General features: G+C 44.8%; 1 protein-coding gene across 22 annotated transcripts in view, besides 2 other annotated features; it reads right to left on the bottom strand.

Moving 5' to 3' along the window:
- Positions 1-12,975, bottom strand: part of STIM1 (stromal interaction molecule 1) — a 238,607-nt gene that overhangs the window by 219,151 nt on the left and 6,481 nt on the right. The window lies entirely within an intron of this gene.
- Positions 2,475-2,564: a silencer, noted in NCBI's record as "silent region_3093". NCBI's record gives its function as "represses an Ori minimal core promoter by ATAC-STARR-seq in GM12878 lymphoblastoid cells {active_cell/tissue: GM12878}" and the evidence as "EXISTENCE:reporter gene assay evidence [ECO:0000049][PMID:35858748]".
- Positions 2,785-2,844: an enhancer, noted in NCBI's record as "active region_4316". NCBI's record gives its function as "activates an Ori minimal core promoter by ATAC-STARR-seq in GM12878 lymphoblastoid cells {active_cell/tissue: GM12878}" and the evidence as "EXISTENCE:reporter gene assay evidence [ECO:0000049][PMID:35858748]".

The raw sequence follows: 12,975 nt of genomic DNA, 5'->3' as shown, positions 1-12,975 counted from the left end.
ATAGCTCTGTGCCAACTTCTGGTACTCTAGGAGGCCGGAGCAGGACCTAGTGCAAGGAAAGTAGTGAGTCCAACTGTCAACACATTTTAATTAGTCCAACCTTAAAAGACTATAACCACAGAGATTAAAAGGAGCCCCCAGGGAAAGCCTCTGCCCTTCACACAGTTCAGCCAATTAGATATGCTCAAGTGCCCTAATTTTTATCACTGAATTCTTTGGGGAATCAGGCCTCACCAAGCTCTGACTTCTGGCTAAGAGTACAAGCATACGCTCAGCTCAGGAGGAGCAGTTAGGTGTCAGCTATAACAGAAGCAGCATAAGTATGCCTGGAGGCCCTAACACCCTTCCTGCGTAGGTAAACTGAGCTAACAGAACTGCCCTCTTGCCAGGCTCCACCCCTCACTCCAGAATGCAATCCATTCCCCAGTGGCTATACTGAACCTAATCCATACTAAAAAGCTAGTTTTGGTCCTCAGTTCAGAGGTAAACACATGGCCAGACACAGTAGCTCACACCTGTAATCCTAGCACTTTGGGAGGCCGAGGTGCGAGGATCGCTTCAGGCCAAGAGTTCAAGAACAGCCTGGGCAAATCCATCTCCACAAAAAAAAAAAAGTTTTTAATTTTTTTTTTTTTTTTTTTGAAATGGAGCTTTGCTCTTGTTGCCCAGGCTGGAGTGCAATGGCGCAATCTCGGCTCACTGCAACCTACGCCTCCCGGGTTCAAGCGATTCTCCTGCCTCAGCCTCCCAAGTAGCTGGGATTACAGACATGCGCCACCACGCTCAGCTAATTTTTTTGTATTTTTAGTAAAGACGGGGTTTCTCCATGTTGGTCAGGCTGCTCTCGAACTCCCTACCTCAGGTGATCCACCCGCCTTGGCCTCCCAAAGTGCCGGGATTACAGACGTGAGCCACCGCACCCGGCCAAGTTTTTTAATTTTTAAAAATCAGTGGAGTGTGGTGGCACCTGCGTATAGTCCCAGCTTGGAAGGCTGAGGTAGGAGGATCATTTACGCCCAGGAGTTGGAGGTTACAGTGAACTATGATCATGCCACTGCACTCCTGCCTGGGCAACACAGTGAGATTCTGTCTCAAAAAAAAAAAAAAAGTGGGAGTAACATAAACACAGTAATACTTGTGCATTAAAGGGGAGTTTTCAGAAATGGAAGTGACTTTGAGAATCAAAAGAATTGAGCTATAATGGTAAACCAGATGGCACATATGAAAATGGAGGTAAAGAGCCAGACACGGTGGCTCACGCCTGTAATCCTAGCACTTTGAGAGGCTGAGGTGGGAGGATCATGAGGTCAGGAGATAGAGACCATCCTGGCTAACACAGTGAAACACTGTCTCTACTAAAAATACAAAAAATTAGCCGGGCGTGGTGGTGGGCGCCTATAGTCCCAGCTACTCGGGAGGCTGAGGCAGGAGAATGGCATGAACCCGGGAGCCGGAGCTTGCAGTGAGCCGAGATTGCGCCACTGCACTCCAGCCTGGGCAACAGAGTGAGACTCCATCTCAAAAAAAAAAAAAAAAGAAAAAAAGAAAATGGAGGCAAAGAGACTTGTTCAAGTTAATGACAACATATTGTACTCAAAAGCCAATGAACTTTTACATTTCCCCAAGAGCTCAGACCCACTCCCTTCCAACTGGTGTAATGCCAGTGTAGCCACACTTTTCCTGTTGTCATTAAGAGTTAGAAAACAAGGCCGGGTGCAGTGGATCACGTCTGTAATCCCAGCACTTTGGGAGGCCAAGGCGGGCAGATCACCTGAGGTCAGGAGTTCAACATGAGCCTGGCCAACATGGTGAAACCCTGTCTCTACTAAAAATACAAAACTTAGCCGGGCGTGGTGGCACACGCCTATAGTCCCAGCTACTTGGGAGGCTGAGGTACAGGAATCGCTTGAACCCAGGAGGCGGAGGTTGCAATGGGCCGAGATCACACCACTGTGCTTCAGCCTGGGCGACAGAGGTAGACTCTGTTTCAAAAAAAAACGAGAGTTAGAAAACAAGATTATAAGGAAGAGTGAGAACCTAGGAGAACAGGGTACTAAAGAGAGAGGGATAAACCAAAGAATTGCAAAGAACAGATCATCAGACAATTCAGAGGAGAAAAACCAATACAGTAATGATAAATTACTCAAATTTGTGTATGAATAAATGCCTATCACATTATTTCATAAGATCTGCACACATCAACCTTGTAAGATAGATTCTGTTATCCCCACAATACCTGGGATGAGGAAATTTAAGCCCAGAAAAGTCAAGAGTAACAGAACCCAGGCTAAACTAAGCCTACCTAATTCTTAGTCTCATGGTCTTTTTATTAAACCAGATTTTCCCTAAAGAAAGCTGTGAACACTCAAGAGAACCAACCTAGGAAGAGGGAAGAAAATGAAAAAAGTTTCAAGAAAACAATGGAAAGAAAAGGCATTAAGACAGAAGCTACAAAATAGTAACCAGTTGTTTTTTAAAATTAGAAAATCTTGTATTCCTCCTCCACTCACTCAGAGTATGTGACTAGATATTGGACAAAACAGCTAGTTTCAGGCCTGCCCCCATGACACAGAGCTGACATAACCACAGCCCTACTACCTAACAATACCCCTACTAGAGCAGCTGACTTCCCCTCTGAGAAGAACTTAGGAACTTGTGTACTAAACCAAAGAGACGACCAGATAAGGACTCCAAGCACTCTGATCAGCAAGTCCACCCTGGTTCCTCTGTCCCAAGCCAGGACTTACCCTAGTCTAGAGGAAGTTCTCACCAAGCATAGCCTAAATTCAGCTATCACTTTGCCTCCACTTTGAGCCCACATGAAGGTTGGCAGAAGACCCTGAGGGAAGGGGATATTAATCATCTTCTCTCTGGTCAGGAGTAGCTGATAGGAGGCCGGGCGTCGTGGCTCACGCCTGTAATCCCAACACTTTGGGAGGCCGAAGCAAGCAGATCATGAGGTCAAGAGATACCATCCTAGCTAACATGGTGAAACCCCGTCTCTACTAAAAATACAAAAATTAGTTGGGAGTGGTGGCAGGCGCCTGTAATCCCAGCTACTTGGGAGGCTGAGGTGGGAGAATCGCTTGAACCCAGGAGGCAGAGGTTGCAGTGAGCCGAGATCGCACCACTGCACTCCAGCCTGGCGACAGAGCAAGACTTCATCTCAAAAAAAAAAAAAAAAAAAAAAGAGTAGCTGATAGGATATGGTCACTCGGTGTTCTGTCAGCCACTCCATATCCCACTAGAAAATCGGAGATGTAGCCAGGCACAGTGGCTGATGCCTATAATCCCAGCACTTTGGGAGGCTGAGGTGGGTGGATTGCTTGAGCTCAGGAGTTCCAGACCAGCCTGGGCAACATGGTGAGACCCCCATCTCTACAAAAAATATAAAAACTAGCCAGGCATGGTGGTACACACCTGTAGTACCAGCTACTTGTTGGGCCGAGATGGGAGGATCGCCTGAGCCTGGGAGGTGGAGGCTGCAGTGGGCTGTGATGGTGCCACTGCACTCCAGTGTGGGCGACAGAATGAGACCCTGTCTCAGAACAAAACCAAAAAAAAGTAAAAAGAGTATTATAGAAAGCATATTTACTTCCAATGCCTCCATGAGGTAAAAATTAATATTCCCTTTTTTGCAAATGTGGACAAAAGGGAATATGAGGCTCAGAGAGGAAAAGCAATCTTGTTACGATCTTACAAACAGAAAACTGGCAAGATCTGGAATTGAAGTCAGGTTTGTCTGTCTCCAAGACTGTCTCTGATTTTCCTAGAGTCAAGGCTCAGCTTTGTTAGGAAGTTTAATAGCTAAAAAGCAAAGAGACTTGGGTTCTCAGACTTAGATTCCACCATGGAGTTACTGTATGACTTTAGGCAAATCATTTCATTTCTTTGGACCCCAGAAAACTCATTTGTAAAATGTAGCAATGTGAAATAAGCATAGAAAGAATTATTTGGTTCCTGAAGTCCTGTGGAGTGTAGCCCCTTGCCCAGCACTTCAAATAAGTTCAGCTACCCCACCACTAATCATCCCCTAGCACTGACCCTCCTTCTGACTGCCATATATTTTCTGCTAATGGCACCACCAGTCTCTTCATGACCCACACTCAAAACACTGGTGTATCTTTGACTCTTTTCTTTCTTTCCTTCCCTTCCTACATTTAAACTCTGAGTCCTACTGATTTTACCTCCACAATGCAGACCCTGATGTCTTCTGCTCATGAACAGTTGCAAAGTCTCCTATCTAGGCTCATTGCCTCCAATCTCACCTTTACCAATGTACTGTGCATATTCTGTGAGATTAACCTTGCTAAAGCAAAACTCAGGTCAGGTCTCTCCCCTTGTCAAAACGTGCAAGGACTATTTATTCCCTATGGAATCAAGTAGCCTGACAATTTAGGCCCTCCTTGATCTTTTTATGGTACTCTCTGGCACAGCTACCACTCTCCAGCCAATCTAAACTACTGCCCCCCAAAGACTCTTTACTTTTTCCCACTCCAGACCTTTACTCATAACATTTCCTATGACTGGAATACTTCCCACAAATTCCCTTATATTTCTACCTGAAGTATCTGAAGACCCACTAAGCTGCTACCTCCTCTACAAAGCTTCTCTGATCTCCCTCAGCAGAGAAGATCACAACTGCCAACAAGACTATCAGTATCAATCACAGGGCACTGAACCAAGATTGCCTTGTACAAAAAGCTATAAAGTGAGAGACCCGATGTGAGGATTAACTAAAATAATGCATGTGAAAGTACCTAGCCCAGTCCTGATAAAGAATAGTACTCAGGCCAGGTGCGGTGGCTCACGCCTATAAACCTAGCACTTTGGGAAGTGGAGGCGGGCGGATCACGAGGTCAGGAGATCAAGACCATTCTGGCTAACACGGTGAAAACCCATCTCTACTAAAAATACAAAAAAATTAACCGAGCATGGTGGCTGGCGCCTGTAGTCCCCGCTACTCGGGAGGCTGAGGCAGGAGAATGGCATGAACCCGGGAGGCAGGGCTTGCAATGAGCCAAGATGGCGCCACTGCACTCCAGCCTGGGCGACAGAGTGAGACTCGGTCAAAAAAAAAAAGAGAGAGAAAAGAATAGGTACTCAATAAATAGAAGCTCTTATTATAATATAAAATGTGACCATACATCTTAATTCTCCTGCTATATTGAGTCCTTCTACTGGGCAGGGATTGTCTTATAACACATAATAAACATGCTAAATGTTGACTGAAGAGATAAAGAACACTAACTACAAAGACACAGCCCCTACCCCAAGGCTTAAATTCAGAACAGTTGAACCAGGGTGATAGTTTTGGAAAATATAAACTGAATATACACCACTCTGTAGCTAGGTACTACCTACTCAGAATTCATAAGTAAAATACAGCCTCTCTTTCCATCTCCCATCCCACCTCTAATCCTAGTTTCCCAGGCCACTTGGGTGATAGAATAAACTAACACCACTTAACAGTCCTATAAATTGTATAATTTTTAATCAAAATGCCTATCTCCACCTAAATTCTAAACTCAGATAGCTGTTTCTTCCCCGCCACCCCACCCCACACCAAGTTATTAAACAAAAATAGAAACAATTTTGGTCTTGGGATCAGATAAAGCTAATTTCAAATCCTGGCTCCGCCACCTTGGGAAAATGACCTTAAGTTCTCAGTTACAATTTCTTCATCAGTAAAATGAGAGCTATATCCACCCTTAAGAGTTGTTTTGCAGATGTAAAACACCTACAAAGGTGCTCAATAAATAGTAGCTGTCATCATCATTCTTACCATCGAAGTTATTTCAGTTGTCTTAATTACATATTTATCTCTTCAGAGATATGAAGTGTGAGTTCCAGTGACCTTTGCTCTTGTCAGCAAAAGTTTCTTGAAACAAGACCTCCACAAATTCGACCACCCAGCAACAAATACACACACAGACACACACTGCTTTCTAACCTGTGTGTGTGTGTTACACCTGAAGGCCACCCATCTCCCCTGGCTGCTGTATTTCAGAAGCCAGCTCTGGGAACTTGGCAAGCACAGACACATTTGTTCGAACATACACTGTAGTGACGAGAGTTCTGAGAGCTTCCTGAGAGGCCTGAGATAACCCAGAGAGGCCAAACAGGAGCAGAGCTACTGAATCACACTGAGAAAATTAGAGGCACATGAGATTTGAAAGCCTGCCTGCTTGCCTGCCTGCCTGCCTGCCTGCCTGCCAGTGAGATTTCTGGTCATTACCTAGGCCAGAGATCAACACAAGGCAGCCAGGGGCTCTGTGTATATGGCCAACCGAGGAAAGGGTCAGATAAGCCCTTACTGGGCCGTGCTGACAGCACAGTTACTTTTATTCTTTTGTCTCCTCCATCACATCTCCCAAGAGGCCCCTCCCCAGCGTCTTGAAGGAAAGCTGATGTGATGCCTGCTCAGGCTGGAGTTCTCAGCATCAGAGATAACATTTAAAAAGCCAGCAATCTTCACAGGACTATCCTATCTCTCTGCTGCACAACAAGCCCAGGAGTGGGAACCATGAAAGGTTTCCTCCTCCGTTCCACAAGCTAGTCTCAGCAAAGTAGTGAAAGTTCATTCTGTTCATTCAGCTGCCTCAAATTTGACCTGAGGTAAACCCATGTGGGCCATGGAACCAAAGACAGGGAGCAGGAAGACCCAAGAAGGCCTTGCCTACAGGTTTCATGTCCTCTTCAAGCACAGTTCTCCACTCCTACTGCAGCCACCTGCTCAGGGTAGTCATTGCTGTGGCAAACAAAAACTGCCAACCAAAGTCAATAGCCAAACCATCCCTCATTATGACTGATAACTGTCACTGAGCACAGCTTCAGTAGGTGCTTAGTAAATAGGGATGAAGTACTAGGTCAGGCAGAAAAATAATCCCTACAGAACTCCTCAGAAAACTCACCATGTGAATTCTATCCCAATCCCAGGGCATGCTCATCTAACAGTTTTACAGGAACTGATGTCAAGTACTTGGTATTCTCCCTCCCCACCTACTCAATCCAAAGATCAATTCATTGTTATTCATTTGGTCAACAAATATCTACTGGGCACATACTCTCTGACCAGCACTCTCATAGGTACTGAGGATATGTACTACAGCCAACAAACCAGACATGGCTCTTGCCCTTAAGAGACAAGGAAATATTCAAAAATAATAATAATAATAAATAAAGCACAGTTTTAATTTCTTTTTTACTTTTCTTTTCTTTCTTTCTTTACCCTCTCTTATGGTGCTGATAACTCCATTTTTCAAGTGAGGAAACTGTCATTTGACAGTTTGGATCACACTGTCATACTGTCACCAAGAACTCAAACCAATGCCCAGTGCTCTTAGGTACTGGCTTGCTGTAAAAGACATATCTTGAGAGGCCGAGGCAGGCGGATCGCAAGGTCAGGAGTTCAAGACCAGCCTGATCAACATGGTGAAACCCCGTCTCTACTAAATATACAAAAATTAGCTGGGCATGGTGGCACGCACCTGTAATCCCAGCTACTCAGGAGGCTGATGCAGGAGAATCACCGGAACCCAGGAGGCGGAAGTTGCAGTGAGCCAAGATTACGCCACTGCACTCCAGCCAGGGGACAGAGCAAGACTCTGTCACAAAAAAAAAAAAAAAAGACATAGCAAGCTGCCTCTTGTGGCGTAAGCAGGGTGTGAAGTGCACAGAGAGCACTGCAGATAGTAAGTGCTACCAGAGTTTGTTCACAGGTCAGCAGTATCTCACAGCTAGAATTAGTGTCAGGAAAGACTTCATAGAGGACTGGAAGTAGAAATAAAGAAGGACAGGTAATAAAGACATTCTGAAGGAAGTTAAATGACATAAGTAAAAACAAAAGTGAAGCAGTATAAATAAAAGTTTGTTCTGCAGATCAGAACAAAGAAAAATGCTTGGCTTGCCAAGAATGCAGCAAGGGGAACAGAGGGAGATGAAGTGAGTAAAGTGGTCTGGGGCTGGAACTCTGTGTCAGGAAAGCAACCACCACCCATACAGAAATTTTAGAACCTGCACCTTCTCTATTCCATGCTCCCCAGCAGAAAACAAAAGTTTAAGTGCTGTTGGCTCATTTCCGGATTTTTCTTGCATGACTTCTCACACAAAAGAAATCTGCTCCACTCTGATAAACATGACAGGACCACAGCCATCCCTCTTCAAGTCTTGCCTGCTCTAGCAAGTTGTATCAACACAGGCAAAGTTGTCAAATTCTCAATGCCCAGAGAACCTCCCCTTGGCACTTTCCAGGTGGCCACGAGTAACCCCACAAAGTTTTTAATACATTTACCCTGCCTGTGGAGGCCCCAAATCCATAATGGAGCCAGCTGAACAGCTCAGTGGTGAGACATACAACATAAGGCTCTGACCTGTCTCCTTCAGATGCCTATACTGTACATCCCAGCAAACAGATTCCTCATTGCTCTGAACAGATATTGTCAAGAGAGTGGTATAGGGTGCATATATTAGGCACCATAGGAAACAGATATTGCTGGGCTTCTTTTTCTGTGCCTAATAAAAAAGCTTTCTAGCTGGATAGGTCCAAAGAAGCAGCACTTGACATTTGACTTTGTATATCCCTAATTGTACCCAGACCAATTTCGGTGAACATAATATAATATTGTGAACTGCTTCCTGGTTCTCCTCTGTGTAGGTCCCAGACCTCCTAACAACCCAAACAGGCTCCATTAGGGTAGACAGGCTCCACAACAGAGTGAGAACAACATATGAATGAGAATCAGAGAAAATTATATTCTAGCCCTGGCTTACCAAAACCTTGGGTAAGTTTGTTCTTCTGATATGTAAATAAGAAGTTTGGGAGAGATGGTCTCTAAAACCCCTTCCAGCTTTCACATACTAGGATTTCAGTCCTAGCACCTAACACCAATGGCCTAAAAAGTCAGAATGAAGTTTTTCATCTGTCATTGTGAGTCCCAATTCAATGCCATCTACAAATCTAACTCTCAGAAGCCAAGTTGGAGTAGTAAAGGCTCCAAAGTCAGTGGCTGTACAATGGGCTCCAGAATAGAAGGTATGAAACAAAAAAAGTTGGTAGGCAGGACTGCAGCCTAGGATAAAAAGCTAGTTTCTAATTGGAGCCCAGGAGTCCGGGGAGAAGGAAAAAAGGATAGGTCATGTCAAAGCAATGAAGTAATGCATGAACCAAGAGACACAACATAAAAGGGAGTATAAAAAGACTCCACAAGACTCTAGGTCATAAGCAAAGGAAGTCAAAGAAAAACTAAAAGGCCACAGAACCTAGAAGTGATTGTTCCCCAGAGCATGGCCCTTGGGCAATCTCAGAGGCATCCTTTAAGATGATCCCTAGCGGTCCTTGCCCTCCTAGTGTTCATGCCCTTATGTAATTCCCTCACCTTGAGGATGGGCTGGACTTACTAACAAACACAATATAGAAGAAGTGATGGCCTATCAATTCCAAGATTAGATGATAAAAAGATGGAGGTATCTATCTTAGGCACTCTCTCTTGCGCTCTCTTGGACCACTTGTTCTAGGGGAAACCAATCATCATGTCCAGTATAGCCCAGTGTAGAGGCCCATATGGCAAGGAACCAAGGCCTGCCAACAACCATGTGAATTAGCTTAAAAGCAAACACTCTCCCCCCAAATAGAGTCTTCAGCCCCAGCCAACAGTTTGACTGCCATCTCATGAGAGACTCTGAGCCAGAGGTACCCAGTCAAGCTATATCCAGACTCCCGATGCACAGAATCTATGAGATAATAAATACTTATTATTTTAGCCCTCTCTGTTTTGGCATAATTTGTTATACACCAATAAGTAACCAATACAGTGGGGACCAGGCCCATTTGCTCAGCCATTTCAAGACTGCAGGTGAAGCTAGGGAGGTGGTTATACTCAATAAGAGAGTACAGCTGGAGCTGAGGTCAAATATTAGCACCCAGACTTTATTAACAGTCTCCCCATGGCCCACAGTAAGCCTTGAATAAAAGCCTGGTTTGGCCACACCAGAGTTACGCATGATGGCTGGGTATAGCCGAAGTGAGACAATGAAACTACAGCAGCCCTCCTTTATTCTCGGGGGATGCATGCTAAGACTCCCAGCGGATAGCACCAAACCTATACCCACTATGTTTTTTCCTACACATACGTACCTATGATACAGTTTAACTCATAAATTAGTAAGATGTTAACAACAATAACTATTAATAAAGCGGAATAATTGTAACAATATGTCAGCAATCACTCTTGCACTTTGGGGCCATTATGAAGTAAAATAAGGATTACTTGAACGCAAGCACTGTGACACCAAGACAGTCGATCTGATCCCTAAGATGGCTACTAAGTGACTAAAGCACAGGTAGCCTATGGTACACGAATACGCTGGACAAAGGGGTTGATTAACATCCTGGGCAGGACAGAGCAGGACAGCATGAGATTTCATCATGCTACTCAAAATGGTGTGCAATTTAAAACTTATGAATTATTTCTGGAATTTTCCACTTAATATTTTCAGATTTGGCTGGGGCACAGTGGCTCATGCCTGTAATCCCAGCACTTTGGGAAGCCAAGCTGGGAAGATCCCTTGAGTCCAACAGTTCAAGACCAGCCTGGGCAACACGGAAAAACCTCGTCTCTTCAAAAAAATAGAAAAAGTAGCCAGGCATGGTGGCACATGCCTGCAGTCCCAGCTACTTGGGAGGCTGAGGTGGGAGGATCACCTGAGCCCAGGAAGGTCGAGGCAACAGTGAGCCATGATCACACCACTGCAATCCAGCCTAGGTGACAGAGAGACCCTGTCTCAAATACATACACACACACACACACACACACACACACACACACACACACACACACATGCATTGTCTCAAATATATACGTGTGTGGCCAGGCGTGGTGGCTCACGCCTGTAATCCCAACACTTTGGGAGGCTGAGACAGGTGGATTATCTGAGGTCAGGAGTTCAGGACCAGCCTGGCCAACACAGTGAAACCCTGTTTCTACTAAAAAATACAAAAATTAGCCAGGTGTGGTGGCGGGCACCTGTAATCCCAGCTACTTGGGAGGCTGAGACAGAAGAATTGCTTAAACCCAGGAGGTGGAGTTTGCAGTGAGCCGAGATGGCGCCATTGCACTCCAGCCTGGGTGACAAGAGCGAAACTCTACCTCAAAAAAATATGTGTGTGTGTGTGTGTGTGCGTGTGTGTGTGTGTACTTACAGATATACTTATATATGTATAAGTATGTATCTTATACACACATATATACTTTTTTTACCCCCAGACCTCAGTTGACCTCAGGTAACTGAAACCACAGATAAGAGGGGACTACTTGGCTGGGCACGGTGGCTCACGTCTGTAATCCAAACACTTTGGGAGGCCAAGGCGGACAGATCACGAGGTCAGGAGATCGAGACCATCCTGGCTAACACAGTGAAACCCTGCCTCTACTAAAAATACAAAAAATTAGCCGGGTGTGATGGCCAATATGCAGTACTTAAAGGAACCTGCTCGGTCATTCTGATGCATATGCAACTCTGGAGTACAGAAGAGGTAGCACCTCCTGGGATAACCCTTGGCGAGTGAAGGTGAGGTGGTGGATAAATACTCCCCTCCTCTATCACCTGTAGAATGCAATTCTACAGAGCATTCTACAAGGCTTCTCAGAGGGTCTCTAAGTGACACTGAGCCTCAGATGCTCACAGTGGTGTTAGCTCCATAGTACACCTGTCCATTCCCTGTTTCATTCTTCACAACTCCCACCCCTCATTTCTTGAAGTCACTTCTCCGAAATAAACTCTCTGCAAGTTCCTATCCCAGGTCTTACTTTTTAGGGGGAATTTAGGGTAAGACAAGGTCTTGGGATGATTTCCTGCTTTTAGTCCACAATTTTTTTCAAAGTCATTTCAGGGTATTCAATTTATTATTATTTATACTTTGTTGTATATCTTAATATTTCATGATTTTTTTAATCAACAGTAACAACAACAGCAACAACAAAGCTCTGGAGGCCCAGTTTGGTCTCTTTTTTTCTCCCTAAAAGCCTGACAACAACCAAACCTGCTGAGTTTCCCAAAGAATCATTTTCCACAAAGGGAAATGTACCACAGCATGCCCACAAAGCCACTCAGCAATGTATATCAAAGGTTACCCAGCAGGAAACCAGAGGGGCCCCTTGGGTCTGAAACTCAAGTCCTGTAGAGACCTAGGAAACTACTCCCCTCCACAAGATCTCATCACTTCCTTGCCAAAGAGCTGTTCTTAACACGAAGGCCCCATATCCCTAAGGGGCCCATAGATAGAATTCAGGAGGCCTGTGAATTTGGATGGGAATGAAATTACATCTTTGTTTTCAATATTCTCTTACTGAAAGTTAGCATTTCCTTCAATTACATATGGAGCAACCAACCACAATAATATTAGCAATAACTGTGATTTTGTCATCAATAGAAATCAACAGATGTTTTCATATCACATTACATTGCTACAGATATCTCAAAGTATTATTTACACTCATCATTACTTCTAAATTACGGTAAAAAATAGAGGCCAGGCGCGGTGGCTCACGCCTGTAATCCCACACTTTGGGAGGCCGAGGCAGGCAGATCACGAAGTCAGGAGATCAAGACCATCCTGGCTAACAAGGTGAAACCCTGTCTCTACTAAAAATACAAAACAATTAGCCAGGCGTGGTGGCGGATGCCTGTAGTCCCAGCCACTTGGGAGGCTGAGGCAGGAGAATGGCATGAACCTGGGAGGTGGAGCTTGCAGTGAGCTGAGATCGGGCCACTGCACTCCAGCCTGGGCAACAGAGCAAGACTCCATCTCAAAAAAAAAAAAAAAATAGAACCACTACTAGATCACACATGACTGCAATCTTCCTACCTATGGGTGCTCATGTGAGGTAGCTAGCCAACAATGAAGCAACTCTGCCTAATGATCATCCAGCTACCAAACAGTGAAACCAGATATTTACAATGCCTCCTTTCCTCCAA

Source organism: Homo sapiens, chromosome 11 (assembly GCF_000001405.40).
Source record: "Homo sapiens chromosome 11, GRCh38.p14 Primary Assembly".
NCBI classification, from domain to species: Eukaryota; Metazoa; Chordata; class Mammalia; order Primates; family Hominidae; genus Homo; species Homo sapiens.
This window is presented reverse-complemented; position numbering and strand designations above follow the sequence as displayed.